The sequence below is a fragment of the Homo sapiens genome, chromosome 6 (genome assembly GCF_000001405.40).
Source record: "Homo sapiens chromosome 6, GRCh38.p14 Primary Assembly".
Taxonomy (NCBI): domain Eukaryota; kingdom Metazoa; phylum Chordata; class Mammalia; order Primates; family Hominidae; genus Homo; species Homo sapiens.
The window spans coordinates 3169377-3195824 of record NC_000006.12 but is presented as its reverse complement, the minus strand read 5'-3'; the positions used below and the strand labels follow the sequence as shown (position 1 = coordinate 3195824).

The 26448-nt window shown below is 47.3% G+C and overlaps 1 long non-coding RNA gene and 1 pseudogene across 2 annotated transcripts, besides 7 other annotated features; both read left to right on the top strand.

Moving 5' to 3' along the window:
- Positions 1 to 57: 57 nt before the first annotated feature.
- LINC02525 (long intergenic non-protein coding RNA 2525) lies at positions 58 to 13008 on the top strand. 2 transcript variants are annotated; one of them, NR_038296.1, is made up of 3 exons: positions 58 to 159; positions 4595 to 4998; positions 12099 to 13008. It is a non-coding gene; the product is annotated as a long intergenic non-protein coding RNA 2525 (long non-coding RNA). The 2 variants fall into 2 exon arrangements; NR_038295.1 differs by having other exon boundaries at positions 4568 to 4998.
- Positions 325 to 878: an enhancer, noted in NCBI's record as "H3K27ac-H3K4me1 hESC enhancer chr6:3195181-3195734 (GRCh37/hg19 assembly coordinates)". NCBI's record gives its function as "activates a minimal SCP1, AML or CMV promoter by ChIP-STARR-seq in naive and primed H9 embryonic stem cells {active_cell/tissue: H9 hESC(naive and primed)}" and the evidence as "EXISTENCE:reporter gene assay evidence [ECO:0000049][PMID:30033119]".
- Positions 879 to 1434: an enhancer, noted in NCBI's record as "H3K27ac-H3K4me1 hESC enhancer chr6:3194625-3195180 (GRCh37/hg19 assembly coordinates)". NCBI's record gives its function as "activates a minimal SCP1, AML or CMV promoter by ChIP-STARR-seq in primed H9 embryonic stem cells {active_cell/tissue: H9 hESC(primed)}" and the evidence as "EXISTENCE:reporter gene assay evidence [ECO:0000049][PMID:30033119]".
- Positions 936 to 1230: a silencer, noted in NCBI's record as "tiled region #8607; HepG2 Repressive non-DNase unmatched - State 4:PromP". NCBI's record gives its function as "represses a minimal TATA promoter and a strong SV40 promoter by Sharpr-MPRA in HepG2 cells {active_cell/tissue: HepG2}" and the evidence as "EXISTENCE:reporter gene assay evidence [ECO:0000049][PMID:27701403]".
- Positions 2496 to 2790: a silencer, noted in NCBI's record as "tiled region #8965; HepG2 Repressive non-DNase unmatched - State 20:ReprD, and K562 Repressive non-DNase unmatched - State 10:DNaseD". NCBI's record gives its function as "represses a minimal TATA promoter and a strong SV40 promoter by Sharpr-MPRA in HepG2 and K562 cells {active_cell/tissue: HepG2 | K562}" and the evidence as "EXISTENCE:reporter gene assay evidence [ECO:0000049][PMID:27701403]".
- Positions 8662 to 8711: an enhancer, noted in NCBI's record as "active region_23884". NCBI's record gives its function as "activates an Ori minimal core promoter by ATAC-STARR-seq in GM12878 lymphoblastoid cells {active_cell/tissue: GM12878}" and the evidence as "EXISTENCE:reporter gene assay evidence [ECO:0000049][PMID:35858748]".
- TUBB2BP1 (tubulin beta 2B class IIb pseudogene 1) lies at positions 16111 to 18783 on the top strand (annotated as a pseudogene).
- Positions 16595 to 17094: an enhancer, noted in NCBI's record as "H3K4me1 hESC enhancer chr6:3178965-3179464 (GRCh37/hg19 assembly coordinates)". NCBI's record gives its function as "activates a minimal SCP1, AML or CMV promoter by ChIP-STARR-seq in primed H9 embryonic stem cells {active_cell/tissue: H9 hESC(primed)}" and the evidence as "EXISTENCE:reporter gene assay evidence [ECO:0000049][PMID:30033119]".
- Positions 18034 to 18554: an enhancer, noted in NCBI's record as "H3K27ac-H3K4me1 hESC enhancer chr6:3177505-3178025 (GRCh37/hg19 assembly coordinates)". NCBI's record gives its function as "activates a minimal SCP1, AML or CMV promoter by ChIP-STARR-seq in naive H9 embryonic stem cells {active_cell/tissue: H9 hESC(naive)}" and the evidence as "EXISTENCE:reporter gene assay evidence [ECO:0000049][PMID:30033119]".

Below are 26448 nucleotides of genomic sequence, written 5' to 3'. Positions count from 1 at the left end.
GCGAGATCTGGTTGTTTGAAAGTGTGTAGCACCTCCCCCTTGGCTCTCTTCCTCTTTTTCCTGTCATGTGAAACATGCCTGTTTCCCCTTTGCTTTCTGCCATGATTATAAGTTTCCTGAGGCCTTCCCAGCCATGCTTCCCGTACAGCCTTCGGAACTGTGAGTCAATTAAACCTCCTTTCTTCATAAATTACCCAGTCTCAGGTAGTTATTTACAGCAATCCCAGAACAGACTAATACAACCATACATAATATGACTGGCCACTGACATTTCCAACCTGTTCTTTGCACAGAATATTGCCGAGAAAAATGGCTTTCAGCAACACCCACGAGCTTGAATGTCATTAATATTTATTTCGGAAGAGAGCAGCTCATAAAAGCAAAGTGCCTTTGAGCTTCTCAGTAAAGTATAGAGGCAATGCTTCGGTTGGATGGAGATCAAATTGTTAAAGGCGGTAAGGGAGTGGGCTGCCGTGACCCTCATTTCCCTCGCTCACTTAGTCCTTCAACCTAGACCTGTCTCTTGCAACAGGGAAAGGAGAGCAAGTTCTTTACGTCTCTGTGGCCCCCTGCAGAGACCATCACAGGACGGAGCACAATAAGCAAAGAAGCCACACCAAGATGAATAGACCTTGTGACCCAGAGTCATGCCGGCCCTGGGCCTTGTCCTGGCCAGTCCCAGGGCCGGGGACCGGCAAGGACTCTGCAGAGCCCTTTGCCTATCAGGGGAGTGGGTGGGTTGCTCAGATCCTGGCGTTTCTCGAGGGGCACAGGCTCATGTGAACAAGGAGGAGTACTCACTCCTTGCTGCGAGAACAAAAAGCCTGGGAGAAAAGGAAAAGGCAGGGGAGTGAATAAAAATAGAAACAGGCTCAGTGCTCTGACAGGCAAGATCCTCAATGAATCGGGCCCTTCAGTGAGTGGAAATATCTCATTTGAACTAGAATCCCACGGATAAGCTTTGGGGCTGTTTTCGCCACATTAACGCCCTGACAAAGGCCTGCACTATTGTTGATGCAGGAAATGAGAGGCGCTGGCTGGATTCCCCCTTCCTCCCTATTTATGCAGACGGTCCTGGAGGCTGTGTGGTGGTTACCTAGGAAACAGCTTGGATGTGAAACTTCAGAAACTGTGCTGTCAGGCAGCAGGGGATGCGATTGCTGATTTTTTGCTGGCATTGTGTGATGCCAGGCCATTTTATTAACCCCTCTGAACCAGCTTCCTCACATGTAAGCAGGAGATAATATCTACCTCTTTGTGTGTGTGTGTGTGTGTGTGTGTGTGTGTGTGTAGCACCATAGCTGGTTGTAGAACCCAGAAGACGTTCAATGTAGATGTTTTCCCCTTCTCTTCTACCCATCTCACAAGCTTGCTGCACTTAACAGGCACCACTGAATAAATAGGATATAGATATGATATAGAAACAGCTTTGGCAATGAACGAGAAGTTTATTGAATTACATTTAAAGCGTAATAAGGAAGTTCCTTATATGGTGCTAGATGATCCATCTTTTGTAAATTGAAAAGTCATTTAAGATACAAATACTTCTAATTCGTCACTTTGGTAAGCTTAAAAATTTTTAAATGTAGGCCGGGCGCCGTGGCTCACGCCCGTAATCCCAGCACTTTGGGAGGCCGAGGTGGGTGGATCACGAGGTCAGGAGATCGAGACCATCCTAGCTAACACAGTGAAACACCGTCTCTAAAAATACAAAAAAAAAAAATAAAAAATTAGCCAGGCTGGTGGCGGGTGCCTGTAGTCCCAGCTACTCATGAGGCTGAGGCAGGAGAATGGCGTGAACCCGGAAGGCGGAACTTGCAGTGAGCTGAGATTGCGCCACTGCACTCCAGCCTGGGCCACAGAATGAGACTCCATCTCAAAAAAAAAAAAAAAAGTTAAATGTAATAGTCTGGATGTTCTTTGAATAAGCACAGCCACACAGTAAGTGTTGAGGGGCCTCATAACAAGCACCCCTTTTGGAGATGAGACCCAAAAGAGAGAGGGTGTGGGAGTCACATCTAGCAATAGCGAAATGCCTGCATAATCGCCGATGAAATCCATGTTACCGAGTTGGGCAGCAACAATAGGCCTTTCAGTGTCGCCCTCCTACCCCCGAACTGGAGAGACTTCACACGCCCCCCGCAGACAGTGCTGGGTGACTGTGGCCACTGCCGGCCTCAGCACTGAGCTCCCGGATCCGGCTTTTGCTGCACGGCACGGGAGCCCCAAGCACACGCTGTCTGCAGGCCGACCGCGGTGAGGTTCAGCAGTATAACTAGAGGTTGTTGACCAAGTGAGCATTAAAGATTTCAAAGAAGTCAAAACTAGAAGCTTCCAGTTTAACAAAGCAGATGTTACATGGACCACAGACTCCCCCTTCATATTCTCCCAGCTGCTGGGAGTTGGGGCCGCTGCTGGCCCTCAGAGAGCCCCTCTCTTAGAGTCGTCTTCAGCTAAAGTGAGCAGCCCACCCACAGTCACAGCCCCTCCTCAGGGACGGCTTAGGGCAAGTGCTGGGCCCTGGGGGATAGTACAAAGGTTTAGTTCCCTTGCCTCAGTTTGGGGCACCTCTGAGGGTCGTCTGAGCTCCAGAGACACTTGGGACAGACCGGGACAGTCCCTAGGAATGCACCACCTGACTCCTGGCATCCCCAGTCCTCCATTCGTCATTCTCTGACATGCTTCACATGCAAATCTCCTTCTGAGTCTGTTTCCCCAGGAACCAACCTGAAACAATTCATTTCAAAGTAACTACATCATGTGTTCAGATTATAAGAAGGTGATGGACTTCATCACATAGAACTGTATCTGGAAACCCATGTTCTTTGGTCATTTTTCTTGATACATGATCATGTTTCTCATTTTAAAAATTATTCTCGGCCGGTTGTGGTGGCTCACGCCTGTCATCCCAGCACTTTGGGATGCCAAGGTAGGCAGATCACCTGAGGTCAGGAGTTTGAGACCAGCCTGGCCAGCATGATGAAACCCTGTCTCTACTAAAAATACAAAAAAAATTAGCCAGGCATGGTGGCGGGCGCCTGTCATCCCAGCTACTCGGGAGGCTGAGGCTCAGGAGAATTGCTTGAACCCTGGAGGCAGAGGTTGTAGTAAGCCAAGATCGCGCCATTGCACTCCAGCCTGGGCGACAAGAGCCAAAACTCTGTCTAAAAAAAAAAAAAAAAAAAAAAGAGAAAAATTATTCTCTGCAGAATTCCTATCTATCCGATGTTGGACCTCCAGCCCAGTCCTCATTTTCTTTTTTTTTTTTTTTTGAAACAGAGTCTTGCTCTGTCGCCCAGGCTAGACTGCAGTGCCATGATCTCAGCTCACTGCAACCTCTGCCTCCGAGGTTCAAGTGATTCTCGTGCCTCAGCCTCCCGAGTGGCTGGGATTACAGGCGTGCACCACCATGCCCGGCTAAGTTTTTGTATTTTTAGTAGAGACGGGGATTCACCATACTGGTCAGGCTGGTCTCGAACTCCTGACCTCAGGTGATCTACCCTCCTTGACCTCCCAAAGTGCTGGCATTATAGGCGTGAGCCACCGCGCCCGGCCAGTCCTCATTTTCTTATCAGTTCTTTCCTGTTTGCCATCTCCTTCTCTTCTTACTGCACTTTCTAGGAGACTCACTTGACCTATTTTCCAAGGTCTCCATGTGTTCGTTTGTGTTTTTATATAGTTCTCAAGAACTTTTCTTTATTCTCCAAATTGTATTTTTTACATCTTCCTATTCTTATTTCATGGATTCTCTATCATCTCTTCTCTGAGGAAATTCATGAGGTTTTCAAAGATGTTTTCTTCCCTCTACATAATTTCCTCTATGCTTCTGTTTTTACCCCTGTTTGCTTGTTAGGATATATATATATACCCCCCCCAAAAAAAATATATATATATACCCAAAATATATATATACCCAAAATATATATATACCCAAAAAATACATATACCCAAAATATATATATACCCAAAATATGTATATACCCAAAATTTATATATATACCATATATATATACATACCATATATATATACATACCATATATATATACATACCATATATATACCATATATATATACATACCATATATATATACCATATATATATACATACCATATATATATACCATATATATATACATACCATATATATATACCATATATATATACATACCATATATATATATATACACCATATATATATATATTTATTTTATTTTATTTTATTTTATTTTTTTTTTTGAGATGGAATCTCTCTGTTGCCCAGGCTGGAGTGCAATGGCACGGTCTTGGCTTACTGTAACCACCACCCCTCCCAGTTTCAAGCAATTCTCCTGCCTCAGCCTCCTGAGTAGCAGGGACTACAGGCGCATGCCACCACACCCGACTTATTTTTGTATTTTTAGTAGAGATAGGGTTTCACCCTGTTGGCCAGACTGGTCTGCCCTATGATGTCAGGCTCTGTTCATTCTGTTTCTGGAGAATTCTGACTGATGCCTACACCTTTGAAAGGTGACTCTGCCACTCTGTCAGTCAAGAGCTGGAGCCTGTTTCTCTATCTCTTCAACCTAGGTTTGACCACATGATTTGCTTTGGCAGATGGAACGTTAGCAGCTGGGGACCTTTCTGCCACCACAAAAGCCTAGATTATCCTGATGGACGATGGAAGACACATGGCTGTTGTTCCAGCTGACATCAAGCCAACCACTGGACAAGATAGGAAAGCTCTCCTAGAACACGAAGGCCCGAATGAACTGGCCCAGAGCAGAGAAACTGCTCAGCCAAACTGCCAAGCTGTGATTAACAAAGGCTTCATCTTAATCCACCAGATTTTGGGGTGGTTTGTTACACAGCGAATGCTAACTGATACAGTCATTATCATTAGGTCTTTCTTGAGCTGATCATACTTCCCAGCATAGAATACGCCAATGTCCTGCTCCTTATTCCTGGCTGCCAGCATTGTAAGAGCTGAGTGGAAGGCTGGGGTTTTCAGCACTCAATATGTAAGTATTCCCTTCATTTTCTAAGCAAGTTAGGGCAATTTATGAAGCTTTAGAGGGCACACGGGGTCCACATAGAAGACTGCCCTCATTTCTGACATCAAGTACAAGTTTGGAGGGTTCCCAAAACCACCCTCAGCTTCAACAATTTGCTAGAAGGACTCACAGAACTCACTGAACGCTGTTGTACTCACAGTTATGGTTTATTACAGGGAATAGAATACAGCTTAAAATCAGCCAAGGGAGGAGACACATGAGGTGGAGACTAAGAGGGGCCCAAATGCAAAGGTTCAGGTTGTCCTTTCCCGGTGGGGTCCTACACACTGTTAACTCCGCCCTCACCAGCATTGATGTGTGACAGCATGCCCAGAGCATCACCAACCAGGAAAGCCCACCTGAGCCTTTGGGGTCCAGAGTTTTTATCCGGGCTTGACCACACACCGCCCCCATGGCTGGCCTTTACTGCCCAGCCCCTCCTGGAGGCAGGGCTGATACCTTTCATCTCCAGTCCCTGGGAGATTGGAACTGATAGCATGTGGCACAAAGCATATGTCATGAATCACATTGTTAGGCTGTCTGGTGGCTAACCCCCCCCAAAGCAAAGACACTCCAGTTAGTCAGGACATTCCAGGGGCCTAGAGATCGCCTCCTAGGAGCCAATGGCAAAGGCTGGACCTCTCTTTGGGCAAAATCAATTTTTCACTACATAAACTACCCTCTGGCATTTGGCCAAGGCTTTCTTATACAGCAAAACAATCGTCTTTGTTTAGGCATCTATAGTTAGTGTAGTGTTTATTAGACAGATAGAGCAATAGTGGGCAACTCATCTGTCCTATAAAGCCATTACATACATTTTCATATTTTTATACTGTTAATAATTTGATTACTCTTTTCCTCCCTTGATCTGCTGTTATTTGTACCTTCTGATAAATTTATACTGAGCTATTTAGCATAGAAATTAGGTAATAGTCAGCTAAACCCAGTTCTTCCTCAGGCCAGTCATTTTATTACAACCTGAAGAGAAGTTTTAACTCAATCTCTCAATATATTTGATCATCAATATCAGCATTATTCTAAGACTTGTTTATATAAGGTAGTTGACTCTTATTGGTAATGAGGCCAGTATTAAATCACATCACAGTATGGTAACCTGAAAAATAAATGCCAAAAGATATCATCACATTACCAGAGTCCTACTTAGTCATTATCAATTACTCCAGTTTCATCATATCGTATGACCAAAATGTCCATCAATCATCAATCGAATGACCATCAGTCATTATATCATATGACCAAAATGTCTCCTGAGTGCTAACACTCAGGTTTGCAGACTTTCATTCGACATGGTCAGGTTGCGAAAGCACATGCAGTCTCAGCAATCCATAGCTCTACCTTTTCAGGCATCAGGTATATTACTGTGGTAAGAGACAGTAACAGCCAGGAGCGGTGACTCACACCTATAATTCCAGCGCTTTGGGAGGCCAGTGGGCGGATCACTGGAGGTCAGGAGTTCGAGACCAGTCTGGCCAACATGATGAAACCCCGTCTCTACTAATAATACAAAAATTAGCCAGGCATGGTGGTGCATGCCTGTAATCCCAGCTACTTGGGAGGCCGAGGCAGGAGAATCGCTTGAATCCAGGAGGCAGAGGTTACAGTGACCCAAGATCACACCACTGCACTGCAGCCTGGGCAACAAGAGTGAAACTCTGTCTAAAAAAAACAAAACAAACAAAAAAAGAGACAATATCATCTCTCGCTCGGAGTCTTTCTTGAAGCGCCAAAGTAAATGTCAGATCTCCCTCATGGCATAAACCATTTATCCATCCCTTTGCTCTTAGCTGCCTTTCCCCTTCTCTCTATTTATCATTTCATTTTTTCCAGCGTTTCCATCTTTGGAAAGGACATTAGGTTTGGCCACTGCGCCGGTATAGACTGCCAGAAGCAAGCATGGCGAAGCAAGGACTCCTCCCCGAGTCCTTTCCCACTTATATAGGATAGGGGCACACAGGCACAGAACTAGTGAGCTCTCCCAACAACCAGGTAACACAGCTGCATTCAACACTAACGCCAATTTTGCCAGACGGTGAAGGCACAGCCCACACCATCAGGCCCCCAGGAATTCTGACACAAAGCTTTAAAGGCCTGGTTCTAGCTTCTTGCTTAGGGATCATCCCTCCTTCTGGCACCTACCATTGCTGCCATGATCCTGGAGCCGCTGCATCAGGTAGGAAAAACGGAAGGTGAAGTGACATAGGGAAGAACTGTGTGGTCACATTAGCATCCCCCCATCCCTGCCTCCCCAGATCCCATAGAAAAGTCGAGGACTGTGTCCAGTGTGCACTCTCTTGGGCTCCTCTTGTGGAGTGTGTGCATGAAGGCGTGTGAGCCAGCCCTTCCCGCCTTTATCACCCTGTTTTAGACAACGCATGTTTCAATTGCCTGTTCCACTTCTCTATCAAACTTTTATTCTGAGGGTTAAAGTGTGTTCCAAAGAAATGTAATTGCCTGATCGGTTCATCCTGCCTTCTGGCCAGAAAAGCCAATGCACTGAGAACAGCAGCTTTTTTGCAATAGAAAAAGTTTAACGGCTGGGCACAGTGGCTCATGCCTGTAATCCCAGCACTTAGGGAGGCCGAGGCAGATGGATCACCTGAGGTCAGGAGTTCAAGACCAGCCTGGCCAACATGGTGAAACCCCGTCTCTACTAAAAATACAAAAAAATTAGCCAGGCGTGGTGGCGGGTGACTGTAATCCTAGTTACTCAGGAGGCTGAGGCAGGAGACTCACTTGAACCTGGGAAGCAGAGGTTGCAGTGAGCCAAGATTGTGCCACTGCACTCCAGCCAGCTCAACAAGAGCAAGACTCCATCTCAAAAAAATAAATCAATCAATAAATAAAAGAGTTTAACTATTACAGGGCTGGCCAAAAGGAAAGAGTTGACTATTCAAATCACTCTCCTCAGAAATTCAGATACTAGGGTTTTTAAAGGATAATTTGGCAGGGAGGGGGCTAGGGAACGGAGAATGCTGATTGGTTGGGTTGAGGATAAAATCACAGGGGGTTGAAGCTGTCTTCCTGCTGCTCTTGAGTTCCTGGGTGGGATCACAAAACTAGTTGAGCCAGTTTCCCATTCTCGGTGGTGCCAGCTGGTTCATCAGGATGCAGAGTTTTGAACACCCGTCTTGGGTTTGACAATAGTGATGTTATCTATAGGAGCAATTGGGAAGGTTATGACTCTTATGCCCTCTAGAACAATGGCTGGTTATTGTTTCATTATGCCTACATGTTAGCAGAGTTCAGACCCCTTCCTAATCTTAATCTGCGGCCTTTCATTAGTGTTAAAAAAGCAATTTCATGCTTGAACAAGGAAAGGTGTAGTTTTGGAAAGGGCTATTATCTGCTTGCTTTAAGGTTAACCTATGAACTAAATTCCTCTCTAGGTTAGCTTAGCCTATGCCCAGGAATGAACAATGACAGCTTAGAGGTTAGAAGCTAGACAGAGTCAGCTATGTCAGATTTCTCTTACTGTCATAATTTTGCAAACGCAGTTTCAGTGTGATTCAGTGGTCTAAATTGGGGCAATATTTTCAATTCTAGTCCTTTTGCAGTATTTTGAACATCTGCATCTACCACTGGTCAACAGCCAGTCCAGAGCAGGTGCCTGTTCCTGTCAGGATCCATTTGTAGACCCCAGGGACCATCAGCATCAGACCAACTTGGCAGCTCCGTGCAGGGCCTTGCCCTGGAGAATCTGCCCCACCACCATCCGCAGTCTCTGCTTCTCTTGCTGGCTGACTGAGCAGCTGGTATTGTGTGCCTCAGAGACCACAAGAGGAACACATGTGGATTCAGCCATGTCTATACTGCAGCATCCCCACTGCCCCCATCCACTCCTTCCATGAACCCAGGTGGCCACCCAAGCAAGTGCACAGGATACCCACTTGCCAATTCCAACCACTTTCTCATCCTGGAAGGGCGTTCTGATGGGTGCTGACATGTCCTACTTCAATGTAGCCCTCACATTCTCCTAGTAATTTCCACAAGGCTGTGCCCCATATGGGCATCCCTTTAAGAGGCCAGCTTTCCATTGCCACCTGGCTTAGTCTATGGCCAGGCCATTGGCTACTGCCCATGAGTCGGCAAAAACTCAAACAGAGGGGCAAACGGCATGCATCTCAGCCCACTGAGCTGATTTGTTTGTACCTTGTTCAATCAGAATGGCGCCTTCCAAATAGGATGCTGTCTGCTCACATTGGAACCGCCATCCATAAACCAAGTAGCTCTTTGTTGATCAATAAAAGTTGTTCATAGGGTAACACTCAACTGGTTATAGGGCCCAGCAGCTCCTCGGGTGGTTCCAAAGTGAATGCTAGGGGAGAAGAGGCTCCTTGCTCACAAGTATCTCCTCCTTGCATTCCCCTGGTACCATGATCCTGCATAAACCAATTCCATTTTACTGTGGAGCTTTTCTGAGCACTCTTTTCTCCATTAGAGTGTTTCTCTGGCATTGCCCAAGACATTCTGAATATTTCAGGTTTTAAGATCAGTTTATGTCCTTCGGTCATAGGGCAGTTTCAATCAATGTCCAGTAGAAGGCAAGTAAGTAATTGCCTTTTGAATGGAATTTTCCTAGTCCAAAATCCCAGTAGTCCTCACTGGGTGGCTCTCAGAGGCTACTGCCATAAGTTCCAGCCTGCCCTCCACACAGGCACATTGCACAGATAATCTGTCTCCATCATTACTCTAGTAAAATTAACAACCTGCATGGGCTCAGGTAATTTTCTTGATTCCTATTTTTGGCATGTTCAGCCAATATTGGCTGAAGGGTAGATTTACATGCTTAATGTTTTATAATACTAGGTGAGGGAAGCAGTCCCCAGTCAGACTCAATATCCATCCCCTTAATAAACTCAGGTAAAGGAGATACCACCACTTCACATAAAGTCCATTCAGACATTCCAAATTTCATCCAAACTTTCACTTAATTTCTTCAATATTTCATTCCCATATCCTCTCAATCTAACTATAGCCCCTTAGAACTTCAACAGCTTTTGGAATCACAGTGCATGGGCCTCGTGTGTCAAGGAGTCCTAGAAATGTCTCCTCTTCACCTGCTGACCATTTACCCACGTGCATGCATACACCCTCAGTTCCCCAGCTGAAGATGGGGCCAAGGGACTCAGGCCCTTTTGTCAATCTTCATCCTGATTAGATTGTGAGACCATTGCCTCAGTGATTCAAAATCAGATTTCTCATTGTCATCCTTGCTTGCTGGCTTTTAAAATTCCTCCAAACTATGAAGCAGAGTTTGTTTAAAGTGAATAAAGCAGATTTATTTAAAGCCCTTCGCAGCCGGGCACTGTGGCTCACGCCTATAATCCCTGCACTTTGGGAGGCTGAGACAGGCAGATCACCTGAGGTCAAGAGTTCAAGACCAGCCTGGTCAACGTGGTGAAACCCCATCTCTACTAAAAATACAAAACTTAGCCGAGCACGGTGGTGGATGCCTGTAATTCTAGCTACTTGGAAGACTGAGGCAGGAAAATCGCTTGAATCCAGGAGGCAGAGGTTGCAGTGAGCCAAGATCATGCCACTGCACTCCAGCCTGGGCGACAGAGCAAGACTCTGTCTCAAAAAAAAAAAAAAAAAAAAAAAAAGAACCTTCACTGCTGGGGGACAAGCAGGGGCTCCCATCAGTCCCTACAGTTTCTGAGAGTGCTGCATTAGGCTTTTGTCTTCACTCCATCAAGGTCTGCTGTATTCATCCCATTAATAACCACTGGAAGATTTCTGCCCTGCTGGGATGAGTCCCTTGACTTTCTCCTCTGTCCTTCCCCCATACCCCTGCACATCTTAGCTATTGGTTGCATCTGCTTAACTGTTCCCTCTGGTAGCAGCACTGACGTTAGTGGCTGTAGCTTGGACCCACCTGAATCCAAGCTTAGGACAGCCTTAGGATCCATCCCAATACTCTTACTTTTATTTTAGTTATTACAGATAACAATAACCAAGAGATTGGTACTAGCTTGTTCCTTGTTACTTTTCATTTCCTTATATATCCACTACCAGCTCCTCAGAATTGGAGCCGTTATTTCTAAATTCCTTTGGTAACTTCTGCCTCCAGCAACTAATTGCAGCACAGCATTATTTCCAAACCGCCGGCAACCCTGTGGCCATCCAGTAATCAAAGGTTCATCACCTCCATAATCACCCCCAGCCCTTTCCTCCTTCTTCCTCTCAAATCACATGTTTCAGTGAGTCAGGGTGGGGCTAGTGAATCCCACGTATGACACCAACTGTGAAGTGTTTTGGCGACCTGTAATGTCAGAGGGACCAGTCATTAAGACCACTGTTGCTTCTGAAATCAATTGCAAATAGAAGGGTCTCCAAGATCAGCTTTAGGTTTGATAATTTACTACAAGGAGTCACAGAACTTAACTGAAATCTATTATACTTACAGTAATGATTTTTTTTTACATGGAAAAGATACAAATCAAAACCAACCAAGGGAAAAGTGCCTACAGTGAAGTCCAGGGGAGTCAAATGTAGTTTTTTTTGTGGAGTCAGGGCATATTACTTTCCCAATATCAACATATGACAACACACATGGAGTGTTATGGAAGCTCACATAAGCTTTGTTGTTCACAGTTTTTACTGTGGTTTGGGTGCATGTTTGTGGATGTCCTAGACTAGGCATCCAAATTCCATCATTTTCACAGGCAGCTACCCCTGGAGTGCCTCTTGATTCTAGGGGTGCACACGACAGGCATGGCCTACCCTCAGGAGGACTGACCCAGGGAGAAGGGTTCATCAGGCATTGGAAGTGGATTCAGGGCAATCTGAGAACGATATTCAAGCACCATAATATTTGGAACGTGGTCTAGAACAGGAGTGCAAGCTTTGAGTGAACATGACCTCTTTGATCTACAAATTGTCTCCTATGGGAAGGGGGCTGGACAGGAAAGGAAAAAGCATGCCTGCTGGTTGGAATAGATCCTGTTATTTAGCTAATCCTCTTAGTGCTTTTCAAATCTTTAATTAGCCCGCCTTCTCTTCTTGTCTTAACTACTAATAGATTATCATGGATTTAAATTTTTCAGGCACTAGACAATCCAAAAGATCTACAAAAACTTTACATCTACAAGCCAAGGCACTGAATCTCAGCCCCAGAAAGAGACTGTGACCTTCCTTCCTCATCAGGATCCCAAGAAGCCGTAGAACAAGAGGCTAAGAGGTTCGAAGGACACTGGAAAGGCTTCATGCTGCTGTAGGTTGTGGATGGACAAGCTTTGTGTCTGGAGCTGCTGTAGTGGGCCACTCAGTTAGTTCACCCAGGCTCCCACATTCTCCATGCTCTGTTTCAGGAAACAACCAGAACTGTGGACAGTCTTACCAAAGACACTAACATCATCACCAGAGAATTAAAGAAATCCAGTGAGTGGCCCACAACAATTGGCTGGCATAGGACATGATCCTAGCTTCCCACAGGGCACTTGGGATTGTGCAGTCAGAAGTGATTGATGTGCATATGTTTCCACAGACCTCTCTGATGTCTATGCCGTCACCAAAAATATTCAGACTGCAAACCAGGAAATGCATTGAATTGCCACCATTGTCCTTATACTTCCGTTTAAGGACACTCCAGGCCCAACGTCTCAAGGCCTTTTAGGCTAGCTTCCTTCAAACCTCAAATCTTGGTTGCTGTCTAATTTAACCTTTAACCCTTTTACCATTTGCCCTGAGAACACTTGCCGGCAGCACTTCCAGCTGCAGCGTTTACCCAAAGATACCTCTGCCAGGAAAGACCTTGCTTTTATTATTACTTTTGCATTTCTCTAGCATATTGACATTGGAAACAAAAGACATCATTCTATATATAGCATTCTGGTTTTAGTGGTGGTAGTTCCATTTACAAAATATAGTAATTCTTGATCACTGAAAATGTCAGAGCCTAGAAAACGGAGCATTCCTATGCGTGATGTTAACATCATTAAACAGTTGTTGGCCAAAGACTCATGTGATGAATCCAATTTTTCTAAAATAAATAGCTCAGATGATTCAGATGATTCTGATATTAGGTCTGTTTAGAAATAAAACTTCAAAAACAGTTTTTATATTTTACTTCCACATTGAAAATCAGTCAGATTTGCTTTGGCCTCAAAGAATGTGTTCATGTAAAATTAAATGAGCACTAGCAGCCAGCTGTCCTTTTTTTTTTCTAAATGGGAAAAGGGTTAATAATTATTATTTTAAACATATGCTAGGTATACCTCTCTTGAATGCTGATCTCTAAGACTCTAACACCTGTCATTCTAGAACACAGTCAGCAGATGACACAGCTAGATCTTCCGGGCCATTGAGAACATGAAGGCCAGCGCACCCCTGAGACCTAATTGAACCCGCCTCAACCTTACAGTGAAGGTTATTCCATCCCTAATAGCATTGAATACAGTGAAGCTTATTCCATCCCTAATAGCATTGAATACAGTGACGGCTATTCCATCCCTAATAGCACTGAATACAGTGAAGGTTATTCCATCCCTAGTAGCATTGAATACAGTGAAGGCTATTCCATCCCTAGCAGCATTGAATACAGTGACAGCTATTCCATCCCTAATAGCATTGAATACAGTGACGGCTATTCCATCCCTAATAGCACTGAATACAGTGAAGGTTATTCCATCCCTAGTAGCATTGAATACAGTGAAGGCTATTCCATCCCTAGCAGCATTGAATACAGTGACAGCTATTCCATCCCTAATAGCATTGAATACAGTGACAGCTATTCCATCCCTAATAGCATTGAATACAGTGACGGCTATTCCATCCCTAATAGCACTGAATACAGTGAAGGTTATTCCATCCCTAGTAGCATTGAATACAGTGAAGGCTATTCCATCCCTAGCAGCATTGAATACAGTGACAGCTATTCCATCCCTAATAGCATTGAATACAGTGAAGGTTTTTCCATCCCTAATAGCATTGAATACAGTGAAGGTTATTCCATCCCTAGTAGCATTGAATACAGTGAAGGCTATTCCATCCCTAGTAGCATTGAATACAGTGAAGGCTATTCCATCCCTAGCAGCATTGAATACAGTGACAGCTATTCCATCCCTAATAGCATTGAATACAGTGAAGGTTATTCCATCCCTAATAGCATTGAATACAGTGAAGGTTATTCCATCCCTAATAGCATTGAATACAGTGAAGGTTATTCCATCCCTAGTAGCATTGAATACAGTGAAGGCTATTCCATCCCTAACAGCATTGAATACAGTGAAGGTTATTCCATCCCTAATACCATTGAATACAGTGAAGGCTATTCCATCCCTAATAGCATTGAAGGACAGATTTTGTGTGTCAGAAACAATGAGAGAATAACCACAGGCTCACAGTTGCCAATTTTTTACCAACGACTTTGGCTTGACCAAACTTCAATTGGGCTTTTACCCATAAATCCCTAAATGTTGCCTTTCACGCAAGCACTCAGAGGTGCACTGTCTTCCTGAAAGGCTCAGTTGCACAATCAGCTTAGTGTAGAGGAAAATATTTCCTGTTGAAAAGACCTGATTTTGCCACCTGTCTACCCATCCACTTGCCCTCCTCCATAACAAAGCTTCTGCAAGTCCTGTATACCCCACCCTACTAAAGAAAAGCTTTATCTAGTTGATTTTGGATTGACACAGGTTAATAAAACCAGAGCATTCTCTTTATTTCAATAGGCTTTTTGATTAGTTTCTTTTTTCCTTTTCTTTTCTTTTCTTTTCTTTTTTTTTTTTTGAGACAGAGTTTTGCTCTTGTTGCCCAGGCTGCAGTGCAATGGTGTGATCTCGGCTCACCACAATCTCCGCCTCCCGGGTTCAAGTGATTCTCTGCCTCAGCCTCCTGAGTAGCTGGGATTACAAGCATGCGCCACCACACTCAGCTAATTTTGTATTTTTAGTAGAGACGGGGTTTCTCCATGTTGGTCAGGCTGGTCTCAAACTCCCGACCTCAGGTGATCCTCCTGCCTTGGCCTCCCAAAATGCTGGGATTACAGGCGTGACCCACCGCGCCCACCCTAGTTTCTTTTTATCTAAGTCTGGATTTCCATTTTTTTAAGAGACAGGGTCTCACCGTGTTGCCCAGGCTAGATTTGAACTCCTGGGCTCAAGCAACTCTCCCATTTCACCCTCCTGAAGAGTTGCAAGTCCAGTCAGGTGCCATTACTCTCAGCTTGGATTTGTGTTTATCTGTCCATAGGGTCATCTGATGCCCACAGGCGAGGGTGTCAGATAAATTGCCCTGCTCAGGCACTGTCTAGACATGATGACATATACCATGATGCTCTTGCTGCCCACCCCCAAGGCAGCAGGTGACAGCACTGGGTGGAGGCTATAATTATATTACAAACCCCAGCAGGGGAGGCAGCAGCGGGTCTGGTGCATGGGTCGGGGTGGGCACCTGTACAAGGACGTGGTCTCTTTGAGAACCGCCATGTTGCCCACCCAACTCCCTCACCCCCTCCCTACTGCAAATTCACAATGCAGCCAGCGCCCTCACGATGGCCAGCTCCTTCCACTGCCGCCCAGGTGCCCTCCCAGGCTCCTGCTGCCCTTCGCCCAGTCCCTCCGGTGGTCAGTGCCAGCATGTAGATCGGTGGCTTAAACCTGCACTGTTGCAGGAGTGCCTGGGATCTGTGCCAAGAGAGCTTGATCCCTGGAGGCAGCCACAGAGTGGGTCCCCCTGTCCTTGGTCCTGCCACGACCCATCAATCATCCCGGATGCAATGGCATTCAGCCCTGCCTGGGGTGACACAGCCTCCCTGTACCCCTTCCCACTTCTCTACTCTCCACCCTTCCCTAGAAGGGCATCTGCTGTGTCCCCTCCTCCTCCAGGGCCCCTCCCAGCTTTCAGTCTATCCCCATAATATGGCCGATGCTCTGCGGATTTTCAAGCCCCTCACAGCGGCTGCTGCAGGAAATAGGGGGTGCAGCTCTTTGCTCTCTGTCTAGCACTTACTAACTGTCTGACCACAAAAGCCCCTGTTCCAAGGACATGGGAGGAGGACAAGGCCATCCTTAGTGACATGCAGGATGCAGAGCCATGGTGTGGTTCTTTTTTCATTTCAGTTTTGGGAGGTCATCAGCGATGAGCATGGGATCGACCCCACAGGCAGTTACCATGGAGACAGTGACTTGCAGCTGGAGAGAATCAACGTGTACTACAATGAGGCTGCTGGTGAGTAGCGGGATGTGTGTGCCCAGGAATCCTTGCTTTCCATGATGTGGGAGATGAAACGTCCCAGGAACATGCACGTGACAAAGGCATGCTTCTTGCATATTCATTTCAAATGCCAACTACTGGAAAAACACGCTTCATTGGTTCCTAAGATTCCTGCCTGTTTTCTCGCTCTGTCGCCCAGGCTGGAGTGCAGTGGCACGATCTCGGCTCACTGCAAGCTCCACCTCCCAGGTTCACGCCATTCTCCTGCCTCAGCCTCCCGAGTAGCTGGGACTACAGGTGCCTGCCACCACACCCAGCTAATTTTTTGTATTTTTAGTAGACACGGGGTTTCACCGTGTTAGCCAGGATGGTCTCGATCTCCTAACCTTGTGATCTGTCCGCCTTGGCCTCCTAAAGTGCTGGGATTATAGGCGTGAGCCACCGCACCCGGCCAGGACCTCCTTTTTCTTAAAAGCAGAAAACATCCTCTTTTCCTTTTGTCTCAGATACTGGAATTGAATGCTACTCTGACTCTCTCCCGGAGCCCAGGTCTAAGTCAGTTCTCATTCCCGGCAGGTAACAAATATGTACCTTGGGCCATCCTGGTGGATCTGGAGCCTGGAACTACAGACTCCATCAGGTCTGGACCCTTCGGCCAGATCTACAGGCCAGACAACTTCGTGTTCGGTATGTAGTCATGATCACTGGGAACTGGCCAAATGACACACCTTCTTCCTAACAGCCCTGCGAAGCACAGTTCTTAGTGTTCAGTGCCAAGGTGACACTGTGTCCACGGCAGCCCTGAGTCCTGGCCTAGCTCCATGCAGTCCATGGGCGGTCATGGCTCACAGATCAACGCCAGCCTGCAGAGGGCTGCTGCAGCCCTCCCATTGCAGAGCAGCCTCAGACTGGAAGGAAGAAAGAGCAAGGAAAAGCTTCAAGCCAGGCTTCATAGCTATAGGCAACTTGAAAGGACTTCAAAGAGCCAGGGGCCTTGGGAGGCCGAGGCGGGTGGATCACAAGGTCAGAAGATTGAGACCATCTTGGCTAATACGGTGAAACCCCATCTCTACAAAAAATACAAAAAATTAGCTGGGCGTGGTGGCGGGTGCCTGTATCCCCACCTACTCGGGAGGCTGAGGCAGGAGAATGGCGTGAACCCGGGAGGCGGAGCTTGCAGTGAGCTGAGATCGTGCCACTGCGCCACTGCACTCCAGTATGGGCGACAGAGCGAGACTCTGTCTCAAAAATACATACATACATACATACATACATACATACAAACACACATAAAGAGCCAGGAGCCAAAAGCACAGGTTATGACCAGAGCTAGACAGATGCTGAGGCCAACTTCTCTCCTGGTCACACTGCCTTCACCTTGCCTGTTTAATTGTACTTGAGTATAAAGAGAATGCCTCTTATAAATGTATGTATTTCAAAACCAATTAAGTTTTCTAACCCTATCCTCTTCCTCAGTCAATGGCCTCAGATTTGCTAAACTTAATTCTAACTTTATTATGATCCCGAGGGTTTTTGAGGGTCACTAACATAGAAAAATATTTCTGGCCAGGTGCAGTAGCTCACACCTGTAATCCCAGCACTTTGGGAGGCCGAGGTGGGTGAATCACCTGAGGTCAGGAGTTTGGGACCAGCCTGGCCAACATGGTGAAACTCTGTCTCTACTAACAATATAAAAATTAGCTGGGCATGGTGGCAGGTGCCTGTAATCCCAGCTACTAGGGAGGCTGAGGCAGGAGAATTGCTTGAGCCTGGGAGGCAGAGGTTGCAGGGAGCCGGGATGGAGATGCTGCACTCCAGCCTGGGCGACAGAGCACGACTCCATCTCAAAAAAACAAAAAAGAAGAAGAAAAATATTTCTTTAGGTAAAAGAAGAGTATTCAAAAGAGAAGAATCTGCCAGTTTGAGACCAGTCCTACCTCCTCCTCCATAGTCAAAATGACAGATGTTTTAGGCAGGCCAGAGCGGAGCCGGGAATAACTGGGCCAAGGGCCACTACACAGAGGGAGCCGAGCTGGTCGACTCGGTCCTGGATGTGGTGAGGAAGGAGTCAGAGAGCTGTGACTGTCTCCAGGGCTTCCAGCTGACCCACTCTCTGGGGGGCGGCACGGGGTCCGGGATGGGCACCCTGCTCATCAGCAAGATCCGGGAAGAGTACCCAGACCGCATCATGAACTCCTTCAGCGTCATGCCCTCACCCAAGGTGTCAGACACGGTGGTGGAGCCCTACAACGCCACCCTCTCGGTCCACCAGCTGGTGGAAAACACAGATGAAACCTACTGCATTGACAACGAGGCCCTGTATGACATCTGCTTCCGCACCCTGAAGCTGACCACCCCCACCTACGGGACCTCAACCACCTGGTGTCGGCCACCATGAGCGGGGTCACCACCTGCCTGCGCTTCCCGGGCCAGCTGAACGTAGACCTGCGCAAGCTGGCGGTGAACATGGTGCCCTTCCCTCGCCTGCACTTCTTCATGCCCGGCTTCGCGCCCCTGACCAGCTGGGGCAGCCAGCAGTACCGGGCGCTCATGGTGCCCGAGCTCACCCCGCAGGTGACATGCCCTTGCCTAGCATCCATACACTGAGAGGAGTGGGGCGGGGAAAGTGAAATGTTCTTCAGCAGCTGCACAAAGAACCAGGACAGCTTCCTGTGAGTCACCAGTGTGATGAGGCTCTCCAGCGGTGACGTAATCAGACCTGCATCATCCCAGCCTTCAGACAAGAACAACTAAATGAGTGAGAGCATCTCTGGCCTTTGCATTCAGCTCTGAGTCCAGTGCCTCTCTAGATTACAAAGTATTTAAAATCCTGCTTCATGGTGGGTCCAGAGAGGGACTAGAAATGCTTAGCTAGTGAGGAGAGCACTGCTGCAGCATGAAAATGACAGGAATCTGAATGGCAGCTGCAGAAGACAGACGGGTCAGCTAAGGGGACACAGCAGGTCCAATGGCTGAAGGCCACTGTCAGTGGATACAAGGACTTTCCCATCAAAATTCTTTGTAGCAGACACTGTTGGACCCACCCTGTGCCTTTGGCCATTGTTTTTCTCAGACCTGCTGATGGCTTCTTACTGAAAAAAACTGTGACCTGCCCCAGGGGTCACTTGTGCAGCAAGGTAAACCTCTTTCTGGAGGCTAAGTAGCCAGCTCCCCTCCACTCAGGTGGGGCGACGCAGAGTGAAGTTCTGCCTGGTCTCTGACAGATGCCCCTGGGTTGAACCCTTGCCACCTGCAGCAGTGACCTGTTCTGAGGCAGCCCCTTGGCTTCCTTCTCTTTCCTGGCTCTGTTCCCCACAGCACTTCCAACGCTTCCCAGGACAGACACTGCCCTCATCACCTTCCACTCAGATCCTAGCCTCAAGGCGTGCTTTGGGGCACCTGACCTACATCACTCATCAAAGAAGAACTCGTCTACCAGTTTGCTATTTTAACAGGTTACCACAAAGTCAGCAGCTTAACGCACCAGGATCACCTTACAGTTTCCGTTGCTTGGGAGTCCAGCAGGTCTGGGAGGGCTGCACTCATCAGGAGCTCAGGGGCCTCTCCCATGCTTGCTCACGTGCTCAGCAGGGGCCAGGTCCTCACGGTCATAGGCCGAGGTTCCCGTTTTCTTGCTGGCCTTTGAGCAGAGGCTGCTTCCTGCTCCTGGGGGCTGCCTTCTGTTCCCTGCCACATGGCCCTCTCCATAGCAGGCTATCGGATCCTTCAAGGTCATCAGGAGGGGGTCTCTACTGCTTCCAAACTCGAATATCCTGTCTGTCAATGGGTGGAGAAATCTTCTTCTTCAAAAGGGCTCATGTGATTAGGGGAGGCCAATGAGATCATCTCTCTATCTTAAGGTCAACTGACTTGGAAACTTAATTGCACCTGCAAAATCCTGTCACAGCAGTACCTAGATTTATGCTTGATTGAACAACCGGGAAAAGGTGAGTGTTGTAAAACAAAAATAAAATTCTAAGGCCCCCCCAACCATCTGAATGGAACCCTCCTCTCAGCCAAGGTCATTCAAAGTTAACCTGAAAAACTCATTCAGGCAATGATGGGAAGTGGGAGCTGGACATGTCTCTGCATTCCCTCCTCCCGTTTGGAAATGCTGATAGAACAGACTCTTAAAGTCTGATGAGAAACGTTTACAATCTATTCTCTCTGAAGCCTGCTACCTGAAGGCTTCATCTGCATGACAAAACCTTGGTCTCCACAATCCCTTATCATAACCCAGGCATTCTATTGATAACTCTTTCTACATATTGTCAGTCAGAAAACCTTTGAATCTATCTATGACTTGGAAGCCCCCCTCCTTCCAGTTGTCCTACCCTTCCAGACCAAACCAATGTATATCTTATATGTATTGATCGACGCCTTCTGTGTCCCTAAAATGTATAAAAGCAAACTGGACCCTGACCACCTTGGGCCCATGTTCTCAAGACCTCCTGAGGACGGTATCATGGGCCATTAGTCACTCATATTTGGCTCAGAATAAACCTCTTCGAATATTTTACAGAGTTTGACTCATTTTGCCAACAGTATATACCACGAGCCAGGTGAATCTTGGGCCACCTTAGAGTCCTGCCTACCCCAGAGTGGAAACAGCACAGCCTCTGGAACAGATGAACCTGTGTTCCTAAAGTAAGTTATTTTTTTTCCTTCCTAGTTGTATGGCCTTGGGCAAGGATTTTAATCTCTCTGAGCCATACCTTCTTTGTCCAAAAAATGGTGATCATGGTAGCCACTTCAGAAGGCAATTATTATGAGGATTAAATGAAATGCACATGTAAATTACTTGTCACATATGTGTGCAATCACTGGCTCTGTAGGAGCACCTTGTCAAGGGAGGTGTTCAGGGATAGGCTGTATAACTTCCCATCAGGGATTCTGCATAGAGAAGCCATGATAATCTTGGACTATCTTTTAATTTTTTTTTTTTTTTTTTTTTCCGAGACTGAGTCTCGATCTGTCGCCCAGGCTGGAATGCAGTGGCGCGATCTTGGCTCACAGCAAGCTCCGCCTCCCAGGTTCACGCCATTCTCCTGACTCAGCCTCCTGAGTAGCTGGGACTACAGACACCCGCCACCACACCTGGCTAATTTTTTGTATTTTTAGTGGAGATGGGGTTTCACTGTGTTAGCCAGGATGGTCTCGATCTTCTGACCTCATGATCCACCCGCCTCGGCCTTCCAAAGTGCTGGCATTACAGGCATGAGCCACCACACCCAGCTGGAATATCTTTTAATTTTTAAATATACAACCTTTAGGTTCTTTACAACCAGGAAAAGTCTGTGGCTCCACGTAAACATTCTTGAAAGAGCTTTTCATCAGAAAAAGGCCTTCATTGATTGGTATTAAATTATTTCCTTGGGGCTAGGTGCAGTGGCTCACACCTGTAATCCCAGCACTTTGGGAGACTGAGGCAGGAGGATCACTTGAGCCCAGGAGTTCAAAGTTGCAGTAATCCATGATCATGCCACCACACTCCTTCCTGGATAACAGAGCAGGGCACTGTCTCTTAAAAAAAAAAAAAAAAAAAAATTATAAGCTGGGCGCAGTGGCTCACACCTGTAATCCCAGCACTTTGGAAGGCTGAGGTGGGCGGATCATCTGAGGTCAGGAGTTCAAGACCAGCCTGGCCAATATGGTGAAACTCCATCTCTACGAAAAATACAAAATTAGCCAGGCATGGTGGTGCATGCCTGTAATCCCGGCTACTTGGGAGGCTGGGGCAGGAGAATCGCTTGAACCCAGTTTCACTCGCGTCCGTGTGAAGAGACCACCAAACAGGCTTTGTGTGAGCAACAAGGTTGTTTATTTCATCTGGGTGCAGGCGGGCTGAGTCCGAAAAGTGAGTCAGCAAAGGGAGATAGGGGTGGGGCCGTTTTATAGGATTTGGGTAGGTAAAGGAAAATTATAGTCAAAGGGTGTTGTTCTCTGGTGGGCAGGAGTGGGGGTCACAAGGTGCTCAGTGGGGGAGCTTTTGAGCCAGGATGAGCCAGGAGAAGGAATTTCACAAGATAATGTCATGAGTTAAGGCAGGAACAGGCCATTTTCACTTCTTTTGTGGTGGAATGTCATCAGTTAAGGCAGGAACCGGCCATCTGGATGTGTATGTGCAGGTCACAGAATATATGATGGCTTAGCTTGGGCTCAGAGGCCTGACATTCCTGTCTTCTTATATTAATAAGAAAAATAAAATGAAATAGTGGCAAAGTGTTGGGGTGGTGAAAATTTTTGGGGGTGGTATGGAGAGATAATGGGCGATGTTTCTCAGGGCTGGGATTAGGGGTGGCGTGGGAACCTAGCATGGGAGAGATTAAGCTGAAGGAAGATTTTGTGGTAAGGGGTGATATTGTGTGGTTGTTAGAAGAAACATTTGTCGTATAGAATTATTGGTGATGGCCTGGATACGGTTTTATATGAATTGAAAAAAGAACGGAATAAGAAGGAGAAAAACAGGTATTAAAGGACTAAGAATTGGGAGGACCCTGGACATCCAATTAGAGAGTGCCTAAGGAGGTTCAGCATAGTCCTGCCAGCAAAGATTATTTATTTACTTTAACAGGGAGTTAAGAGTGGCAGTTTCGGGATAGCACCAGGAGATATCAGCTGTGATGGCTTGGAGAAACAGTGAAAAAGGGCAGTGTAAACAAGAGCAGAGCATTTATGAGTAGTTGAGAACGGTGAATAGGAGTATGACTAGACAGAAGATAGTAGGGATGACAAGTTTTTTGGGGTGCAGTCCAAGTTGGTCTGGTGTCTGGAATGAGACTGGGGCCTAATAAAAAGGAGCGTCTATACAGGAGCTTAAATGTGCTGTACCCTGTAGCATTCCGAGGACAGGTCTGACTTCTGAGAAGGGAAAGTGGTGAAAGTATTGTCCAGTCCTTTTTAAGTTGGTGGCTGAGCTTGGTGAGTTCTGTTTTTAAAAGACCATTAGTCTGTTCTACCTTTCCTGAAGATTGAGGACGGTGACGGATACGAAGGTTTCACTGAATACTAAGAGCCTGAAAACCTGCTTGGGTGATTTGACTAATAAAGGCTGGTCCGTTATCAGACTGTATAGAGGTGGGAAGGCCAAACCGAGGAATTATGTCTGACAGAAGGGAAGAAATGACCGCGGTGGCCTTCTCAGACCCTGTGGGAAAGGCTTCTACCCATCCAGTGAAAGTGTCTACCCAGACCAAGAGGTATTTTAGTTTTCTGACTCAGGGTATGTGAGTAAAGTCAATTTGCCAGTCCTGGGCAGGGGCAAATCCCCGAGCTTGATGTGTAGGGAAGGGAGGGGGCCTGAACAATCCCTGAGTAGAATAGCAGATAGAACACTGAGAAGTTATTTCCTTGAGGATAGATTTCCATGATGGAAAGGAAACGAGAGGTTCTGAGAGACGGGCTAGCGGCTTGTAACCTACATGGAAGGTTATGAAATGATGACAGAATAGAATGGGCCTGTAAGGCTGGAAGGAGATATTTTCCTTGGCCTAAGAACCATTTGCCTTGTGTGGGAAGAGATTGATATGGTGGAAGTTTCAGCGGGGGAGTAAGTGGGAGTGACCAACGTGTAGGGGGAAAAACTGGCCATGACAGACAGAAGTTGGAATGCTAGCTGCTTGTCTAGCCACCTCATCAGCATAAGCGTTGCCTAGAGCAATAGGATCTATGTGTCTGGAATTGGTGGATTCTTGGTCTCACTGACTTCAAGAATGAAGCCACAGACCCTCGAAGTGAGTGGTACAGCTCTTAAGGTGGTGCATCCAGAGTTTGTTTCTGCTGTTACGGATGTGTTCGTCGTCTCACTAGCTCAGGAGTGAAGCTGCAGACCTTCACAGTGAGTGTTAAGAACTCTTTAAGGCAGCGCATCCAGAGTTGTTTGTTCCTCCCAGGGGGCTCATGGTCTACGCTGGCTTAAGTGAAGCTACAAACCTTCATGGTGTTACAGCTCAATAAAAACAGTGTGGACCCAAAGAGCGAAAAAATAAAGCTTCCACGGCGTGGAAGAGAACTGTCGTGGGTTACCACTGCTGGCTCAGGCAGCCTGCTTTTATTCTCTTATCTGGCCCCACCCACATCCTGCTGATTGGTAGAGCCTAGTGGTCTGTTTTGACAGGGTGCTGATTGGTGCGTTTACAATCCCTGAGCTAGACAAAGGTTCTCCACGTCCCCACCAGATTAACTAGATACAGAGTGTCGACACAAAGGTTCTCCAAGGCCCCACCAGAGTAGCTAGATACAGTGTTGATTGGTGCATTCACAAACCGTGAGCTAGACACAGGGTGCTGATTGGTGTGTTTACAAACCTTGGGCTAGATACAGAGTGCCGATTGGTGTATTTGCAATCCCTGGGCTAGACATAAAGGTTCTCCACGTCCCCACCAGACTCAGGAGCCTAGCTGGCTTCACCCAGTGGATCCTGTACCGGGGCTGCAGGTAGAGCTGCCTGCCAGTCCCACGCCCTGCGCCCGCACTCCTCAGCCCTTGGGTGGTTGATGGGACTGGGTGCTGTGGAGCAGGGGGCGGCGCTCATCGGGGAGGCTGGGGCCGCGCAGGAGCCCATGGAGAGGGTGGGAGGCTCAGGCATGGTGGGCTGCAGGTACAGCCCTGCCCCGCGGGGAGGTAGCTAAGGCCCGGTGAGAAATCGAGCATAGCGCCGGTGGGTTGGCACTGCTGGGGGACCCAGTACACCCTCTGCAGCCGCTGGCCCTGGTGCTAAGCCCCTCATTGCCTGGGGCCGGCAGGGCCGGCTGGCTGCTCCGAGTGCGGGGCCCACCAAGCCCACGCCCACCTGGAACTCTAGCTGGCCCGCAAGCGCCGCCTACAGCCCCGGTTCCCGCTCGCGCCTCTCACTCCACACCTCCCCGCAAGCTGACAGAGCCAGCTCTGGCCTTGGCCAGCCCACAAAGGGGCTCCCACAGTGCAGCGGCGGGCTGAAGGGCTCCTCAAGTGCCGCCAAAGTGGGAGCCCAGGCAGAGGAGGCGCCCAGAGCGAGCGAGGGCTGTAAGGACTGCCAGCACGCTGTCACCTCTCAATCGGACGCCTTTTGATGCCCCTTGCAGTGAATGACTCCAGCTTCCTTTGGAAGTAAAGCGGCCATGAGCAGAGTTTTTATTAAAGAGGCATTAATGATGCAGGACCTTGCGTAGTGAGAAAACCTCTTTCAGCCCATATAACTGCATGGTGGTGCAGAATATGGAAGGCATATTTAGAGTCAGTATAAATATTAATGCGTAGTCCCTTTGCAAGAGTGAGGGCCCGAGTTAAGGCAACTAGTTCGGCTTGCTGAGAGGTAGTGGAGGGGGGCAGAGCGGTAGCCTCAATGATAGATGTGGAAGATACTATTGCATAGCCTGCCTTTGCTGGTGAGTGGCGATTAGGCCTGGTGGAACCGCCATCAATAAACCAAATGTGATCAGGGTGAGGAACAGGGAAGAAGGAAATATGGGGAAATGGGGTGAATGTCAGGTGGATCAGAGAGGCAGTCATGAGGGTCAGGTGTGGTATCTGGAATAATGTTGGAGGCCGGATTGAAGTCCAGGCTAGGAACAATGGTAACTGTGGGAGACTCAACAGAGTGAGTATAGCTGAAGGAGCTGGGGAGCAGAAAGTATATGGTCAGGTGTGAGGAAGAAAATAGATTTTGGAAGTTATGAGAGCTGTAGAGAGTGAGTTGAGCATAGTTTGTGATTTTGAGGGCCTCTAAAAGTATTAGGGCAGCAGGAGCCGCTGCACGGAGACATGATGGCCAGCCTAAAACATTGAGGTCAAGTTGTTTGGACAAAAAGGCTGCAGGACGTGATCCCAGTCCTTGTGTAAGAATTCCGACTGCACAGCCCTGCACTTAGGCTGTGTGTAATGAAAAGGGTTGGGATGAGTCAGGGAGAGCTAGAGTGGGGGCAGTCTCTAAAGCTGTCTTCAAGGAACGGAAAGAGGAGTGGGAAAAGGATTTAAGATCTATGGGGTCAACTAGGTTTCCTTTTGTGAGTTTATATAATGGTTTTGGTAGGATGGCAAAACCAGGTATCCAAAGTTGAAAGTATCCAACCATGCCTAGGAAGGAAAGGAGTTGCTGTTTTGTAGAAGGGGTTGGGGTTTGAGAGATCAGTAGGACATGATTGGCAGGGAGAGCAGTGTGTTTTTATGAAGAATTATGCCAAGGTAGGTAACAGATGGAGAAGAAATTCGAGCTTTGGAGGGGGATACCAGATATCCTTTGGAGAATAAATGCTGAAGGAGCAG